Source organism: Homo sapiens, chromosome 1, assembly GCF_000001405.40.
Source record: "Homo sapiens chromosome 1, GRCh38.p14 Primary Assembly".
Lineage (NCBI taxonomy): Eukaryota > Metazoa > Chordata > Mammalia > Primates > Hominidae > Homo > Homo sapiens.
The window spans coordinates 14445360-14465329 of NC_000001.11; the positions used below are offsets into that span (position 1 = coordinate 14445360).

The window sequence follows — 19970 nt, forward strand, 5'->3', positions numbered from 1 at the left end:
ACAGACACATATGCTCGGGGAGATCAGCACACAAACACACAAGCCGAGAAGGAAGTAATCCATCTATGAGCTAAGGAATGTCATAGATTGCCAGGAAACCACCAGAAACTGGGAGAGAGGCTGGAATTGATTCTTCCCTACGGCTTTCAGAAGGAGCCAGCCCTGCCCACACCTTGAACCTGGGCTTCTGGCTTCCAGGACTGTGAGACAATAAACTTCTGTTGTTGAAGCCCCCCGACTGTGGTATTTGGTTATGGAACACCAACATGGTGGTCTGGGAAGCCTGGCTGGTGATTAGGAAAGTGAAGGCAGTCAGTAAAGGTGCTGTATTGACTGGGATTGTACTGAGAACACCTGAGGCTCAATGCCACTGGGGAACTCTGGGAGACAGCATAGAACACACATATTGGAGTGATCCCAGCCAAGATGAGAGGGAGCCGGGGTATTCACCTTCCATCTCCCATTTGTCTCTAGCGCAGGCTCCCAGGGTTCCCGCCAGCAGGGAGAAAACCCTTACGCTGAGCATTGCATGTGTTTGAAGTATGAAGCGGTTGAGGCTGGGCACAGTGGCTCAAGCCTGTAACCCTGCACTTTGGGAGGTCAAGGTGGGAGGATCACTTGAGGCCAGGAGTTCAAGACTGAGCAACATGGCAAGACCCCATCTCTACAAAAAAAAAAAAAATTAAGTTAGCCAAGTGTGCTGGTGCACACCTGTAGGCCCAGCTACTCAGGAGACTGAGGCTGGAGGATTACTTCAGCCCAGGAGGTCCAGGCTGCAGTGAGCTATCATCATGCCACTACACTCCAGCCTGGGCCACAGAGCAAGACCCTGTCTCAGAAAACAAAAAAAGAATTGGTTGACATTACTGGAATGCTGCGTGCTAATTTGAGCAGGGGAATGACAGCATTGGCCACACACAAAAAATTAAAAAATAATTGAATCCCACCCTAGATACCTTATTCCAAGCCCAGTGATGTTCCCAGGGCCCAGTACATAGCAATGCAGACGGACTTTCTGTTGCCAAAGACTACAGCAGGGATCTAGTGGTATCTAAGAAAAGGAGGATGAATGGAAAATATCTTGGTTTTAGCCTCCCTAGGATGCTAGTGGGTCAATAACTATAGTCTCAATCTATGTGGACTCTAATTCAATTGGGAAAAATCTCCTCTGCCATGGTTAATTCCAGTATGAGCTAAACCATGGAGGCTAGGGTTGGCAGCGGTGGTGGTCTCAGTCACCTATCTCACTCGAGGTACCATTCTTCCCCATCCAACGTATTCAAAATCTCTTCATTTCTTTTTCCCCTTGAACCCTAGGTGAGAGGGCTCCAGTTCTTCATTCGCAGGTAGCTCAGTCTAGTGCAAACCTCTCCACAGTGGCAAGTCCAAGTCCTTTGCCACCATCACAATTGCTGGTGCAGCAGCCTGTCCTGTGGGATTGCTGGGGCTTGACCCTGCCTCTAAGGAAAGATCCCCATCCCTACCCCATATTTATTTCAGCTGGAAAATTGTGCTCCATGGATTCCTGAATGGAAGCACCTTTAAAAAAAAATTCAACTTTTATTGCATATACAGAGGGCACATGTACAGGTTTGTTATATAGGGATGTTACATGATGCTGAGGTTTGGGGTACAAATCCCGTCACCCAGTTAGTGAGCATAGTATGTGATAGGTAGTTTTTCAACCCATACCTCTCATCTTCTTTCCTCCCAAGTAGTTCGCAGTGTGTAATGTTCCCATATTTATGTCCATGTGTGCTTTATATTTAGCTAAAGCCAGAGCCTCTGGTATCCTAGTGGGAACCCATAATTCTTCTAGTTCTCCCTTGGAACATGGCGTTTCCACCACATTATTATTATTATTATTATTATTATTATTATTATTATTATTATTATTGAGGCAGAATTTTGCTCTGTCGCCCAGGCTGGAGTGCAGTGGCGTGATCTCAGCTCACTGCAAGCTCCACCTCCTGGATTCACACCATTCTCCTGCCTCAGCCTCCCGAGTAGCTGGGACTACAGGCGCCTGCCACCACACCGGGCTAATTTTTTTGTATTTTTAGTAGAGACGGGGTTTCACCGTGTTAGCCAGGATGGTCTCGATCTTTTCACTCGGTGATCCACCCGCCTTGGCCTCCCAAAGTGCTGGGATTACAGGCATGAGCCACCGCGCCCAGCCCTCCACCACATTTTAACAACCTAGACATTTAGAATTACCTGGGCAATGTCCATCCTCTGCTTCATTTTCCCCTGTTTTTCCTCACTTTTAATTTTTATCTGCTGTATTTATTGGCTATGGTTAGTCATCCTAAAGCTGAGATTCTGGCTCAGGAATTCATCTCGTCTCCTCAGCCATGGGGTTGGGGGTCTCTCATTCTGGGAGGGGGCGCTGTCCTAAGTCCTTTAGATGCCCTGACTACTTCAAATCTCACAACAACATCAAAGGGTGGATTAGATCAGCATTTTGCAGCTAAAAAAGAAAGAAGCTAAAAGAAGTTAAATAATGTGCCCAAGAGCTTCCAGCTAAAAAGTACCTGAAAAGAAGTTAGAACCCATTTCTGTCACCACCACATTATAACCTAAAACCTGGAACAGAGGCAGGACCAGGAGCTGCAGGATAGCAGGAGAGAGTAGGGGACCTGTGGTTTGAGCTCTGCACTGTAAGTAAACAGGATACCCACTCAGAAGCTTGTCCACAGGACAAACTGTGGTTAAGATTGTTCTCAACAAGCCCTGGTAGCATTGACTGAATAGCAGCCATGCGCTGAGACCTGCTGTAAGCACTTTGGACATCTCCCCTTTCAATCTTCATACAACACTCCATCTTACAGAGGAGGGCACTGAGACTGAGAAGACTAGGTCACTAGCTCAAGATCACACCATTGGTAACTGGCAGAGCAGGGACATGACCTCTGATCTTTCTGGTCCAAAGCCCAGGTATAAGGCACCACACAGTGCCATCGTCACAGCTATAGAATGAGAAAGTGGCAAAGGCCAAGAGGGAGAATGGGAAGGAGCAATCCAGCAGGACGTGTTCAGATACTTTCTGTGTCTGTGCTAACCAACAGATAACTGGAAGGTGTCCTCCATCACCAAGATGAATCTGCAGAGTATACATGGTCATCTGACTGTATTGCTGGACTCTTTCTTCCCTTTTAAAAACACAAACAAAGAGGAGCCAAGGCAAGGGCTCTGGATGCCACTGGCTTAGCAAATCTACTAAATGCACATCCTGGATTGAAGTCACTGCTTAGGGATTCCCAACAACTCTTGACTGGACACCAGCCCCAGAGAGGAAGTAATAGATTATTGGCACAGGAATGGCCCTGTACAGAATAGCAGGCAACAGAAGCAAAATGGTCCAACACGGAGTTGGGCGAGGGCAGGCACAAGGGACCCCAGGCAACCCAAACAAGACGCCTGACTCCCTCACCTCTCCAGCCCTGCACAGGCAAGCACACTTCTTTGCTTCTCAACCCCCATGACATTCACACGTGACTGATGGGCAAGGTCATGCTTCTGCCTCCTGTCATGGAGTTTGAGAACTGGAGGAAGCTAGAATGCATCTTACCCAATCCCCTTATTATACAGATGGGGAAACTAAGACCCAAAGAAGAGACTTGCAGGGAGGTTTTCGTGGTAGAATCTGATCTGCATTGAAGACTTCTTAGCTCCTGGCCTGACACATGGTCCACGACAATGTTGATGACTATGTGGGTTGTAAGTAACAGAAATCCAATTCAAATGAGCTTTAACCAAAAGGGACTGATTAGCTCCCATAACTAGAAAATTCAAGGAGGTGATGGCTTCAGTAATGCCTGATTTCAAGAACACAGACCATGCCATGAGGACTTAGTCTCTCCTCCTTTTCTCTGATGTCTTCTGGTTTGGCTTCATTATCAAGTAAGCTGCCCCACGAGTTGCTGGAATGGCTGCTGGCCATCCTGGATTCCTCTCCTTGTATCTGGCCTTATCCACCTCTACCACTTTGCTTTAGTTGTTTGCGTCTTTTCCTAGAGACTTAGAAATTTTACAGAACCAGAATATTTTGCCATCACCCTCAGAAACCTGGATGATGCTCTTGCACTGACCTTGAGCTTAAAGCTTCTTAATTTGGGTGGTGATTGGGGTCCATGCCTCCCTGGGCAGCAGGAATAGGAATATTGTCCTAAATGAAACTCTATGCAAAATAGTGTGTGCTTATACATATGGAATTTTTCGGGAGGAGAGAGTAGTATAAAGCTTTTCACACCTTGGAACACATGTTCCCCAAGAGGGAAAGAACTAGTAAAACCAAAATTCACTATGGAGATTGTTTCAATAATTTCATGTAGGATGAGGGCTGACTTTGAATTTTATGGTCTTCAATCAGTACTACCTAGAAACAATGAATGTTTTCAAGATCAGGGATCATCCGGTTTGCTGCTTTCTGAACAATGGGCTGATACCAAGCGATGATTCCTCCCTGACTTCATCTCGGTTATTTCAAATGCATTTGGAGAAATTTGTGAGTTTAATGAGCCCCTTCTGACTCTAAGTTTGAGAAAAATGAGGGGATACATTCCCAGATTCAAGTAAAATCATGGTAAAAGGAATTTTACCCAGTTTTTAACTCTTAATGGCCCCTTTCAGGAGGGTTTTATGGTTTTGTGCCTGTCTCCAACTTGGTGCTCCAATTTGCTCACCCTGTGCAAATGCTTTCATGCAAATCTTAGCCACAGCATGCTCTGGGAGCTTCAGGAGATGCTGGGGAGAGTGCTGCCCCCCCGCCTGCAGTCTCTCTCTGCCTGTCATCCAACCACACCTGTCCTTTCTTTTCTTGGCCGGTCTTCATCCCTCTTGCTTCACATTTAATTTCTGTTTTCTGAGCTTCCAAATGATTTGAGGAATAGGATGCTGTTTCATGATAAGCTAGCACAGGGCACCTGATATAAACAGAGCTGCTGTGTCTGGGCGCAGTGGCTCATGCCTGTAATCCCAACACTTTCGGAGGCCGAAGCGGGTAGATCACCTGAGGTCAAGAGTTCGAGACCAGCCTGGCCAACATGGTGAAACCCCGTCTCTACTAAAAATACAAAAAATTAGCCAGACGTGGTGGCAGGCACCTGTAATCCCAGCTACTCAGGAGGCTGAGACAGGAGAATTGCATGAAACCAGGAGGCAGAGGTTGCAGTGAGTGGAGATCATGCCATTGCACTCCAGCCTGGGACACAGAACAAGACTCCACCTCAAAAAAACAAACAAAAAACAACAACAGCAAAACAGAGCTGCTGCATGGTAGTGCCATTGTGATATTGTGACGATGGTGGGGCGTGGGAAAAATGATGTCAACTACCACTTTGCCAAGTTTTACAAACCCCGGACATCAAGTGTGGGGAAGGAGGGGTAGGCTGTTTGAAATTGCAAAGGAAAGACTGAGAAGAGGGTGCTTGGCTGCTGATATAGTTTGGATGTCATCCCCTCTAAATCTCATGTTGAATTGTAATCCACAGTGTTGGAGGTGGGGCCTGGTAGGAGGTGACTGGATGGTCGTCCTAGGTTTCTGATGAATGGTTTAGTGTCATCCTCTCGGTGCTGTCCTCCCGATAGTGAGCCAGCTCTCACAAGATCTGGCTGTGTAAAAGTGTGCAGCATCTTCCCCTCACTTTCTTGCTCCCTCTCACACCATGTGACATGCCTGCCCCAACTTCACCTTCTGCCATGAATAAAAACTCCCTGAAGCCTCCCCAGAAGCTGAGCAGATGCTGGCACCATGCTTCCTATACAGCATGCAGAACCACGAGCCAATCAAACCTCTTTTCTCTATAAATTACCTAGTCTCAGGCCTTTCTTTATAGTAATGCAAGAATGGCCTAACACAGTTGCTAAGTACCCCACAAGGACTGTCCAAAACACAAACCCAGCCCCCTCAGAGACTAGGCTCTGAAACAGTGTCATCTACCCATGATTCATACCTACTGGGTGGGAATTATATTGGTACCTCAAAAAGGCAATCAGTAAGAATGTAGACTTAGATTGCTTATCTAAGCGCCCAGCTCAGGGCTTACTTTCTGTGGGAGCACATGGTTACAGACAACAGAAACCAACAGCTGAGACTGAGTTTCTGGAAGGTCTCAGGCCCACAGAATTGATGGGAGGCGAGATGTATCAGTCTGGGTTCTCCAGAGAAACAGAACCCACCTATGTTCTCCAGAACAGAACAAAAACAGACCAGCAGTTTCAGAAAGAGAGAGAGAGAGAGAGAGAGAAAGAGAGAAAGAAAGAGAGAGGGATTATAAGGATGTTTTAAATACTTGCTTTTAATTGTGATGGCTGAGAAGTCTCAAGATTTGCAGTCAGCAAGCTGAAGACCCAAGAGAGTGGGCGGTATAGTTCCAGTTCAAGTCCAAAGACCTGAAAACCAGAAGAGCTGATGATGGTGTAAGTTCTAGTCCAAATCCAAACCCAAGGACCAGAGAAGGCTAATGTTCCACCTTGAAGACAGTCAGGTAGACTGAGTTCTCCCTTCTCAGCCTTTTTGTTCTGTTCAGGCACTTGGCAGATTGGACGCTGTTTTGGGATGAGATTAACTCTTTTTTGTTTTGTTTTGTTTTGTTTTAAGATGGAGTCTCGCTCTGTCACCCAGGCTGGAGTGCACTGGCTCCGTCCCGGCCCACTGCAGCCTCCGTCTCCTGGATTCTAGCGATTCTCCTGCCTCAGCCTCCCAGGTAGCTGGGATTACAGACACGCCCCACCATGCCTGGCTAATTTTTGTATTTTTAGAAGAGATGGGGTTTCACCATGTTGGCTAGACTGATCTCAAACTCCTGACCTCAGGTGATCTGCCCACCTCGGCATCCCAAACTGCTAGGATTACAGACATGAGCTACCATGCCTGGCCAACTTTGAATGGGTAGACTAAGGAAAGCTGATGGCCACTGACCTGGCCAGGCAACCTTGAAAAGCACTCTCTGAACTTCCATTTTCTTTTCTGTTTGAAATCCTTACCTAGGGCCTCTGGTGAGCACAGGCATCTCATTACACATCTAGTCACTTTACAGTGAGTTCCATTTTTAAAAAATAAGTTTGGTTTTGCTTTTATCCAAGAGAATGCATTTATCAAAGCCTGGTCAATCTGGGCTGCAAGGACAGGCAAAAGGCGCTCAGTCACAATATACCTTGAGGGTTTGGATTTATGACTCTTCATCAAGACCCTCCAGGTATATATAGCAAGTGGCCATTTGGCTGAGGCAGGACCTTGAGTGGCAGGCACTGTGGAATTGGCATACAGGGAAGAGTCAGATGGAAAGTGCCTAAACCTAGAAGACAGCCAGCGCAACAGCCTCACTCCTGGACTCTTCTCTATCCATGTGTGAAGACACTCTAGTTAAGTTGCCCTTGACCGCATTTTATGAGGAAATTGATATGCTACGGTGAGGACCAAGCATCAAGGGATTCCCAGGAGTCTTGGGAAATAGCCGCCTTTCTTGAGCTCTGCTGCTGGGGTTGTAGACTCAAATGCATACAGGAGCCAGACAAGCCACAGTAATGAGTAAAGCAGGCCAGGAATTAATGTGTTCCAATCCACACTCTTCTTGAAATAGGCCTCTTTTGTTGTTGCTGTTGTTGTTGTTTGAGATGGAGTCTCCCTCTGTCACCCAGGCTGGAGTGCAGTGGCGCAATCTCGGCTCACTGCAAGCTCTGCCTCCCGGGTTTATGCCATTCTTCTGCCTCAGCCTCCCAAGTAGCTGGGACTACAGGCGCCCACCACTACACCTGGCTAATTTTTTGTATATTTAGTAGAGACAGGGTTTCACCATGTTATCCAGGATTGTCTCGATCTCCTGACCTCGTGATCCGCCCGCCTCGGCCTCCCAAAGTGCTGGGATTACAGGCGTGAGCCACCGTGCCTGGCCAAAATAGGCCTCTCTTTTACTCTGCTTTTTATTCTCCCATTTTTGATAGCAACATGAGTAAAGGGAAATGTGTCTCTATTATAAGAGATTTTTTTAAAAGTGTTCCTTAGCTGTAATACAAAGGTAATAATCAAGAGTACAAATTTTCAATTATTGCTTAATTAAAAACAATAACTTCAACAACAAACACAAGGTGAATGCCAAATTTAGTCTAAAAAAAGTACTACTCTAAGACATCTGGGATACTATGGATATAATGCCTGCTCCACCATGTGCACGCCACATTCAATAGTCTATCTGCCCAGGCATGGTGTCTCATGCCTGTAATTCCAGCACTTTGGGAGGCCAAGGTGGGCGGATCACTTGAGGTCAGGAGTTTGAGACCAGCCTGGCCAACATGGCAAAACCCCATCTCTACTAAAAATACAAAAATTAGCCAGGTGTGGTGGCATGCCCCTGTAATCCCAGCTACTAGGGATGCTGAGGCAGGAGAATCGCTTCAACCTGGGAGGTGGAGGTTGTGGTGAGCCGAGATTGCACCACTGCACTCCAGCCTGGGCAACAGAGCAAGACTCTGTCTCAAAAGAAAAAAAAAATAGTCAATCTGCCATAAGCCCAATCCAAGAATATAAATGGGGGTAGGAGAGAAACCACATAGAACTTCCACTATGGCATCTTCTATTACCATATTCAACAAAGACATAAAAGGCCTTGCAAAAAAGAACTTTTACAGCATGTATTTTTAGGACAATATTATAGTGAGGTTCTGGTATATTTCACAGGCAATGAGCCTTTTCTTTCAACTGGACAATAGGGTGGTATAAACCAATATAGGAAATCCTCCATGGAGCTTTACAGAAGTGAGAAATTTTGGATTAATTTTCTCTCTGTGCAGCAAGGAGCTAGGAGAAAGAGATATCACTTCTCCAAGGCATGGAAAGAGAGGGGTTTGATTGTTATTTTGTTTTGTTTGGGAGGTGTTTTTCTCCAATGAGTTGTTGAAATCTAGAGAACATAAAAGAAAAAATGAGGATCTGATTTACACTTACACACATTCAACACCATTTAGTATTTATTAACAACCATATATCCATTCAATTGTCAAATTCTAACCATGTGCTGAGAGTATCATCTTTATTTGTTTCTGATTTACAAGTTTTCTCTCCTCAATTAGAGTCCAATAAGCAACTTGAGGACAAAGATATCATGTCTCACTGTCTTCAGAATTCCCCACCTCTTCTGGAACTTTCCATCCTGCATTATAATCACATGTGTAATAGCTGCCCCTTGAAGAGAGGATGCATTTGTTCATCTCTGTGTCCTATCCCATGGGCATTGCCTTTACCATAGTTAGTGAGAGGCCAGGAAATGTTACTTGGCTGAATACATAAATGAATTCTACTGACCTTGGGGCATATACATTATTGAGGATAGCAGTGGTACTCATGAATGTTCACTAACAAACAAATAATCTCTGGACTGTGAAGGTGTTGGCCATGCTTGGTCAGGGAAGAAAATAAGAGAGGTGTGTATTAGTTATCCATTGCTTCATAACACATTACCTCCAAGATCTTAGCAGCTTAAAACAACAAGCATATATTTAATATTATCTCAGAGTTTCTGAGGGTTAGGAATCTGGGTGTGGCTCAATGGGATGCCTCAGGCTCAGCATCTCTCATGAGGTTGCAGTCAAGCTTGCAGGCACCTGAAGGCTTGACCAGGGCCAGAAGCAGGAAGCCTCCATTCCTCACCTTGTGGGCTTCTCCATAGAGCTGCTCATGACTTAGCAATGAGCTTCCCCAGAGAAAGAGATCCAAGAAAAAGCGAGAGAGGGTCCAGGATGGAAGCCAACATCTTTTATGCTCTAGTCTCAGAAATGACATCGCAATGTGGGAGGGAGCTGCATAAGGAGTGAATCTGATTCATACTTACACAAATTCCACACCATTTAGTATTTATTAACAACCATATATCCATTCAGTTATCATAAAAATATCAAATTCTAACCATGTCCTGAGAGTATCATCTCTATTTGTTTCTGATTTACAAGTTTTCTCTCCTCAATTCAAATCCAATAAGCAACTTGAGGACAGAGATATCATGTCTCACTGTCTTCAGAATTCCCCAGCTCTTCTGGAACTTTCCATCCTGTATTACAGAATACCGGGATGCGGGGATCACTGCGGGCCATCTTGGAGGCTGCGTTTGTTAAATTGGGATACTCAGTGTTCCAGTGTTGTTTGCAAAGAGGCTTTGAGACCCCTACCTTAGGAAACATAAAATTATCTTTTCTACCAGAATTGGGAATTTTGACATATTTGCATGAATATGGACAGTGATCTGAAAGAAAAAATAATTCTGTAAGTTGACCTGGCATGTGGTGTTCCAGAAGAGACACTGAGGTGACAGCCTCTGCCTCCAACCTCACAGGACCAACCTGAAGCTCTTGATCTACCTGCCCCTTCAGAAATAAGCTTGCCACTCAAACATGAGGAGTTACTCTAACCAGAGGAATTCTTCAGGATCCAACTCCTCAAGGAAAGGACTGTGCCCATTTATGCCCCTCTGGCTCAGAGGGAGTTTGACTGTGAATGCAAAATGGTCATTTTCTGTGAACTTTCTGAAGACATATTTTGCTGAAAAAGAAATGTCCCTTAGAGATAGCACTCAGTGAATTATTGTGGAGTGAACAAGAGGCCACAAGTCAGATGCTATCTCAACAGACCAAAATTGCAGATGTTAGTTTGGTCCTGAATATTGGTGCTGACTCAAGAAGATAGATTTAAAAATGAATATCACCAAGATTTCAAGACAAGCTGTGAGTTTAAAATGCCTCATGAAAAGTGCATGAGCATGCGTTTATATAAATGTGCACCTTCGTATTTGTGTGTTAGTTATCCATTACTATGTAACACATTGCCCCCCAAACCCTAGCAGCTTAAAACAACAAGCAAGTATTATCTGACACTTTCTGAGCATCAGTGTTCTTCTACTTCCCTTGTGGACCTGATCAGATTTCGTGATAATTACATGTTCATTAAAGTCTTTTCTGATAGCCTGGAGATTCCCTGAAGACAGAAATGGGTCTCTCTTGTTTACGGAGGTCTCTCCAGTATTTGGTAGGAATAGTACTCTTAGTAGATATTCGAAAAATATTTGTTGAGTTTTTTTTTTATGTTGAAGCTTTTATTTGTAGACGTTTATACCTGTTCTTACAAGATATGTATTGTCTGGCATGTATAGATTTTTAATTCATGTAGGTGACGTTGTATTATAGATCTCACAGTTTCTTATTTTTTAATTCAGCACAGTGTTGCAAGATCCATCCACATTGCTATGCGGCCTCCATATGTTACTTCTAATATCTGCAAAATATTACATGGTATGCAAGCACTGTATTTCACTTAAGCAGATTATCTCCCTTCTTCTCCACAAACAAAGCACCGATGAGCATTCTTATATGCACCCTTTCATAGGGGTATGTTAAAATTTTTCTTAAGGTTATATGCCCACAGGTAAAATTACTGGGTCAAAAAAATATGCAGCCGGGTGTGGTGGCTCACACCTGTAATCCCAGCACTTTGGGAGGCTGAGGCGGGTGGATCACTTGAGGTCAAGAGTTCGAGACCAGTCTGGTCAACATGGCAAAACTCTGTCTCTACTAAAAATACACAAATTAGCTGGGCCTGGTGGTGTGTGCCTGGAGTCCCAGCTACTTGGGAGGCTAGGGCAGAAAAATCGCTTGAACCCGGGAGGCGGAGGTTGCGGTGAGCCAAGATCGCACCACTGCACTCCAGCCTGGGTGACAGAGCGAGACTCTATCTCAAAAAACAAACAAACAAAAAGAAGCATATATTTAATTTGACTAAATACAGCTGAATGGCTGTCCAAGGCTTCCACAAAGTGGTTCATGAGGCTTCACGTATTTCCACTTTACCACCAAACTCGGCATTATCCAAGGCCTAAATTTTGCTAATATAGTGATAATTCACTGTGGTTTATTTTGCCTTACTAATAAATTTAAGCATCTCTTCATATGCATGTTAACCCTATAGAGTTTCTCTTCTCTAAAATACCTGTTCGTTCCTTTCCCAATTTCTCTACCAGGGTTGCCTGTTTTCTTCTTGATTAGTAGAAGTTATTTGTACATCTATATTCTATATGTACAATTCAAGATATTTGCAGTTTTACTCAATACAAATTTCTTCTTTCTGTCATCTGCTAACTTTATTCATAATGTCCATTTTTGAACAGAAATAATTCATGCACGTGGCCCTTTCTATTTTATTTTATTGGTTTCATTGTTCTTGTACCTTACAGCTTTTATTATTTATTATAGTACATTTTAAATTTTTCAAGTAAGTTATCAAGTTCTTGGAAAAAAATCAAACTGAAATTTTTATTGGTTTTCAATGAATTTATAGATTAAGGAGGATTGTTATCACTATAAGATTAGTTCGGCCCAGCTAAGCATGGGACAGATCATATTGCATGTTCTTTAATTACAGCGTTTTTAAATTTTCTTCATGGAAGTGTAGAATATTCTTTTTTGTTGTTGTTTTTTGTTTTGTTTTTTTTTTTGAAACGGAATCTCGCTGTGTCGCCCAGGCTGGAGTGCAGTGGTGCAATCTCGGCTCACTGCAAGCTCTGCCTCCCGTGTTCACGCCATTCTCCCGCCTCAGCCTCCCAAGTAGCTGGGACTACAGGTGCCCGCCACCATGCCTGGCTAATTTTTGTGTGTGTGTTTTTAGTAGAGTTATGGTTTCACTGCGTTAGCCAGGATGGTCTCAATCTCCTAACCTCATGATCCCCCTGCCTTGGCCTCCCAAAGTGCTGGAATTACAGGTAGAGCCACCACGCCCAGTTGACGTATAGTATATTCTTAAACAAATTCTCAATTATGTTATAGTTTTTGTTGATATTTTGAATGACATCTTATTTTTTATAAAACTGTCTATTTGATTATTGATGCTATAAAAAATTCTAATGGTTGAGAGTTTATCATATTTCTAGCAACCTTGCTAAACTCTTTATTCATTGAGAGCTTACCATATTTCTAACAACTATGAAAAACTCTTCATTAGTTCTAATAGTTTGTTGATTATCATGGTCTTTCTAGGTATAAAGTAATCTCTTCTGAAAGTAATCGCAGTTTTATTTTTTCCCTTTCAATTCTTCCATCTCTTCTTTCTTTCTTTTCCTTGTAATCTTGGCCAGTGCTATGACAAACAGCAATGGTAATGGTGGTTATTCTCGTCTTGTTCTTGTCTTAGAGATAGAATAAATTCTAGCCGCAGGATGGTCTGAGTAGCCCCTTTTCTCCGGGGAGGCTCTTGAGGAGAGTCTGCTGCTGTAAAGGTGCTGGGACCTCCACTTATGGCTCATAATCTTTCTAAAAACTTCTGTTCAAACATGTTAATTTACATTTGCTGGTGGCGTTCAAGGGTTCTCATTTTGTCAAGAACATTTGGAAGTGGCAGACACTTCATTTAAATTTGTTATTCATGGGGTCAGAGACTCCGTGCCCATGATGGGATATTTTAGCACAACGGGTGCCATGATTATGAAGAATTTAGGCAAAATGATACTTTTTTTCCATATTCAATAAATATTTGTTGAATGAATGAGTGAAGAAATAATCCTAGAAATACATCTAACTTAAAATTGGACTCAGTCTTTGGAGGGTCTTAAGTTAGCCAACTCTGAAAAAATCTCAACTTGAAGAAGAGGGAAGCTATGGCAACCCTTGTTTCCTTTTTGTTTGTCAAACTGGGTGGCCCCGTTACTTGCTTCCTGCCTGGCAGCTTCAGTGATTGGACTCCCCCAAGCTTTGGCCCATTTCCTCAGCTTAAATCCAGAGAGAAATAGACACCACTGAACACGCAGGCTTCCTGTGCTCACTAGGAGGGTATCTTCATATACTTTGCCATTTCCCCCTACCCTGTTATGTCAGACCTCCTGCTGGCCTAGGAGTTAAGATTCAAGGGGGATATGGTGTGTGTGCGCGTGTGTGTGTGTGTGTGTGTGTATACATGCCCACACACATTTGCACAAGCCCATGTGTGTATGAATGCAGTTTCCAGCATCTTTTGCTTCTCCACAGTGAGCTAAGGCTCTTTGTGTGATTAATGTGAGGCAGAAATTGTGGCCAAGGGGAAAAAAAAAAGGCAGCTCTGCACTCTTCCCCCAATCAGATTAACGTGGGGTAGAGAGGATTTAAATCAAAGATGGCGCATCGTTTTTATCTATTATCCCAGTTGCAATCAATTGGTATTGGCTGCCTGGACTGCTGCGTCATGAAGGATTCTGAGGCTGGGTTCCAGCCTATCTGGAAAGCATGCCACAACCAATTAACCATGTCTCCCCTGGGCACAGGACGGGTGAGTAGCAACTCACAAGCCAAATGTAAGCTGCAGCAGGAGATGTTGGTCCAGTATGCCTAGAGCAATGGAAGAACTGGAATGTTCTAACCTCCGAGGGCAAACAAGGGCCCTTGTCTATTGCAAAAGAAACATATACTTAAATAGCATCTGTAAACAGAATCATTGGGTGGTATTTTCACAATAGAAAGGAAGAAAGGAAAGAAAGGCAAGATTTTGGCTGCTGTCACCCATGTTTTAATTTCTGTGGGATTTTTTTTCTCTTTCTTTCTTTCTTGCATTCATGTGAGCCCATGGAAACCAAAGCCCCCTGAGTAATAAATACTTAACTAGTAGAGTAAGCTTTAGGCAGGTGATACCGTCAGAGCAGAAATAGCAAATCAGTATTCCCTTACCCACCAGCTCCAATCAATTAATAGAAGCTTATCTCCAGCTCCTGGATTTCTGATCCTGGAAGGTGTTTGGATGCCCAAGCCTGGGCCTGGTCGACTGGCACTGTGTCTATGCATTGGTGTAGCATCACCATTCTGACAGGTATCAAAGGGCACCTATAACCCACAAGACACCATCTGGCCAAGAACTCTGGGACACATAGTTCCCCTCTGACTTTTCTAACCAACTCCATGCTGGATGTCGGGCTTGGGCATCCCCACCAAGCTGCCCCCAAGGCACTGGGCATTGTCTGAGGCTTCCCTTATTCACATGGGCAAGTGTGCTAAGCCCAGCTGGCAGGCCCTACACACAGCTTGGCAGCAGCCGGGAGCTTGAGCAAGGCGGTGAGGATCCAGGCTTGGGGCTGTTCACTCCCTGGGGATGTTGGCTTCTCTCTCTGGTTCTGCTCAGCCTTCCAGGGCCACCAGCACCAGACTCATCTTAGACCCCAAACAAGTTTCCCCAGGCATGTCTGTGAACCTGTGCCCTGATCACTCAGTAATTACTGCAGGCCTGGGATACTCCTCTCCTCCTCTATGACAATCTTTCCCCTAATGTACTTTAAGTCACTGTCTGGGATACCCCATCATCCCCACACATCAACCAGAAGTCCCATGGTTGACTGAAGAAGATAAGGAGTCCCTTCCTCATCAGGGTCCTTTGGTCAGAAAATCAGAAATAGAGGCTCCTTGGGAAAACAGAGATACTTCACTTTCCCACGGCATTTTACAGTTCACCAAGAGCATTTTAGCAAGTGTGATCTAATCACAAATTTGATCTCATTAAAGCACAAAGTATCTTCAAGATAAGGAGTTTATACTCATTTTTCCTTCTGAGAACTGAGTCTCAGAAATGTGAAAGAACTTTCCTGAGCCCATGCAGCATGCTAAGGACAGAGGCCAGGCTCAAACCTAGAGTATCTGGACCCTGCGCTGTCGTCTGCCTGCCATAACCAGGCTGGCTAGTTGGACTTTTTATCTGTCGCTATGGTGGCTATAAGTTTTGGAGCCTTGTGAAATTTGTCACTGCTTTTTAAACCCACAGAAATCCCATTTCCTCACTGGGACCTGGAATCCAGCAACAGCATCCGCCCTTGAGTTCAGCATTACCCTTTCCTGGCTGTCATCTCTTTCACAGGGTTCAAAATTTCTGGGAGGGTGATGTGGTTTGGCTGTATCCCCACCCAAATCTCATCTTGAATTATAGCTCCCATAATTCCCTCATGTTGTAGGAGGGACCCAGTGAGAGATGATTGAATCATGGGGGGCAGTTCCCGCATACTGTTCTGTGGTGGTGAATAAGTCTCACGAGATCTGATGCTTTTATAAGGGGAAACCCCTTTCACTTGGCTCTCATTCTGTCTTGTCTGCCACCATGTAAGTCGTGCCTTTCACCTTCTGCCATGATTGTGAAGCCTCCCCAGCCACATGGAACTGTGAGTCCATCAAACCTTTTTTTCTTTATAAATTACCCAGTCTCAGGTATGTCTTTATCAGCAGTGTGAAAACGGACTAATACAGAGGGATAAGACATTAAGATAATTAGAATTTAAGTGCAATTAGTTTATTTGCTTCCCTCTTCTGAACTGAGGGGACAAGACATGACTAAAGCCAGCACTGCCGAGAGGGGTGGTGACTGGCAGGTGGTGTGGTTACACAAATGAACCCCACCTATTTCTTCACCTTGCCCTAGAAGTCACCATCCAGGTATATCCAAAATTGTGTATACCCTGCATGTAGCCAGGAAGGGGTTAAAATAAATTAAGAAAACAGAAACTGAAAACATTCCTGGGAGGGACCTGCTTGACACTGAGGCCATCAGCCTAAGATACTCTCCCAAAAGTCTCCCCTTGGGAAAACAAAAATATGAATTCTCTCCTGGGTGATATGGTTTGGCTGTGTCCCCACCCAAATTTCATCTTGAATTATAGCTCCCACAATTTCCATGAAAATGGGAATATTTCCTATTTCCAGTTTCCTAGAATATTGTTCTAGGATTGTGGGAGAACAATAACATTCAAAGCTAAAAGTCTCCTCTTGGGAAAGCAAGAGGAGACTTTTAGCTTTGAATGTTGTTCTCCCACAGTTTCACAAAATGCTAAATGGCTGTGCTCTTTCACTCTTTGTAAGAGACAGGAGTAAACTGCATTGGTTTCTCTTGTTTTTTCACCAAAATTCCTGGCCACTAGGACAAGGGACTAAGAGTGGAGACCGTTTGTGGTTTACACAGGGAGCCCCTAGATTTCCACCATACAAACCTGGGTCCTGGAAGCTTTCCTGTGCAGGAAGCAGATTTTCTTCCCCTGTCTGTTCACCAACTGCTGTTCCACTTGTATATTTCAAAAGTAATAAAGGTCAACATTTTAATTAACCCCACTGATAGAACCTCATTCTGTCAGACCTAGAATATTGTTCTAGGATTTCATAACCTTGATCCTAAAGTCCTTTTGCTTGGGGGGCTTAGCCTGGGAGAGTTTTTGGCTTTGACCAGTGTACTAGTTTGTTCTCATGCTGCTAATAAAGACATACCTGAGACTGGGTAATTTACAAAGGAAAGAGGTTTAATGGACTCCCAATTTCACATGGCTGGAGAGGCCTCACACTCATGGTGGAAGATAAGGAGGAGCAAAGTCACATCTTACCTGGATGGTGGAAGGCAAAGAGAGTTTGTGCAGGGGAACTCCTCTTTATAAAACCATCAGATCTTGTGAGACTTAGTCACTATCATGAGAACAGCACGGGAAAGACCTGGCCCCATGATTCAGTTACCTCCTGCAGGCTCCCTCCCATGACACGTGGAAATTGTGGGAGCTATAATTCAAGATGAGATTTGGGTGGGGACACAGCCAAACCATATCACCCAGCAAAGAATTCAAGCGTGAGCTGGTGGTGTTAGACAGCAATCTTTTATTGAACAGTACTGCTCCTTGTGGAGCAGGGCTAACTCATAGGCAGTGGGCCCAGGATTGGCAACTTACGAGCTCTTGGCAACTGCATTTATATTCACTTAAACCCACTTTTAATTACATGCAAATTAAGGGGTGGGTTAATGCAAATTGAGGAATGGATTATTTAGAACTTTCTAGGAAAGGAGCTTTAACTTCTGGATCATTGCTACGGAAAAAGGTGGTAGCTTCAGGGTTGTTGCCATGGCATTCTTAAACTGTCATGGTGCTGGTGGGAGCGTCTTATGCTAATGAGCAATGAGGACAGCTAGGGATTGGTTTTTTGCCATCTGCTGGCTTCTTCACTTTATCTTGTCTGGACCAGATTCTGTATTGGTCAGCAGGGTTGTGAACAGAAAACAAGTCCTGTGGGTCTCCTATCTCACTTTAATCCCAACCTCTTCACTCTCCTCCACATCAAGTTTCCTCAACCAGCCCAGGTTTACCTTATTGAAATTGCTCTATTAAGATTAGTATATTTCTATAAGGTGCTTCTAAAACAGTTGCTGACATACAGTAAGCACTCAATAAATGTTAGTGATTATTATTAGCAATATAGTCCTTAGAATTGGCAGCCTGTGTGTTCTTCCTTTTAATTATACTCTCTCAAGATTTTGATATATACTATGACAATTTCCAAATGATGTTCTGTAATCAATTACTGTGGCTTCTAAATTAAAAAATGAGATGAAATCCAGGCACCGTCCTCAGCCCAAGCGTCTCTCAGGCATCAGTTTATATGCTTTCCCTTACCATAAAAAATGTGGGGTACATATCAGTGTTACTAGCAAGCAGAAATAAAACAGAAAAAAGTCCTGCTACTCTCAATGAAGCCCTGGTGTGGAGTCAGAGATACCTCCCCTGCCCCATCCTATGGTGACCCAGGCATTCCCAGGAGTCACAGGCTGCAGTTCTGTTAATTCTGGGAAGTTTCATTCTGAGAGCTTGGAGGGGCCCTTAGGCCGTATCATTTTCACTTCCGTGAAACCTAAGGAACACTAGGAAGACCATCTGTCTGGGAATTCTGTCTTGACCAAGTAGTGTGGGGCAGTGACAAAAGTCCTGAGCCAGGAGGCAAAGACCTGTGCTCCGGGATCTTTCAGAACATTAATCCACGGTGGAACTTCGTGCAACACATGCTCCCTCCCTGGACTACTGTTTTGTCATGTATAATTGAGAGAGTTGAGCCAGATCAGAGATCAGAAACTAGTAGTAGCTGGGGAGAAAGTACAGACTGCAGATGTGAGTTACTTGGCTTGCAAAGTAGTGTTATAATTTTTATTAATTAGTCCTCAACAGTTAAAAATTCAGGTTTTTGCATGAAATCTGACTGCTCTTGAAAAGTCTGGCAACACTCAGATTGCGTTTCCTTAGAGAAATAATTGGCCTTTCTCTCCAGACATGACATATGCTCTTTGGTTTACCCAAGTCCTCCCCTTCCCTCCAGATCATTCACTTACATCACCTGCTTAGTTAGCACTTATTGGCATTTGAGTTTGAGACCCCTAGTCTAAATAATTTCTTTTTTTTTTCTTTCTTTTTTTTTGAGATGGCGTCTCACTCTGTCACCCAGGCTGGAGTGCAGTGGCGTGATTTCAGCTCACTGCAACCTCCACCTCCTGGGCTCAAGCAATTCTCCTGCCTCAGCCTCCTGAGTGGCTGGGACTACAGATACATGCCACCATGCCTGGCTAATTTTTTTGTATTTTTAGTAGAGACAGGGTTTCACCATATTGATCAGGCTGGTCTCAAACTCCTGACCTCAAGTGATTCACCTGCCTCCACCTCCCAAAGTGCTGGGATTACAGGCCACCATACTCAGCCTAGTCTAAATTATTTCTAGTGGTCCCTCCTGCTTGGGCCAGATGAATGGGGTCATATCACCTTGTTACATAGCATGTTGCTGCATAACAGCTGTGTACCCAATACACAGTGACTTCACATAACCAGTGTTTATTATATTACATCTCCTGATTTTGTGAGTCAGGAATCCAACAAGGAGGATTAGGTGAACATTTTTTCTGTCTCACACCATGTCTGCAGAGGTCATTTGCTGCTATTTAGCTGGCAAATGAGCTGGCACGGATGGTCCAAGACAGCTTCACCCAGCCAGGTGTGGTGGCTCATGCCTGTAATCCCATCACTTTGGGAGGCTGAGGCAGGTGGATCACGAGGTCAGGAGATCGAGACCATCCTGGCTAACATGGTGAAACCCCATCTCTACTAAAAATACAAAAAATTGGCCAGGCATGGTGGAGGGCGCCTGTAGTCCCAGCTGCTTGGGAGGCTGAGGCAGGAGAATGGCGTGAACCCGGGAGG

General features: G+C 44.2%; 1 protein-coding gene across 6 annotated transcripts in view; it reads left to right on the forward strand.

Annotated features, from left to right (window-relative positions):
- The window catches only part of KAZN (kazrin, periplakin interacting protein), a 1225220-nt gene that overhangs the window by 552536 nt on the left and 652714 nt on the right, over nucleotides 1-19970 (forward strand). The gene's annotated exons all lie outside the window — the stretch shown is intronic.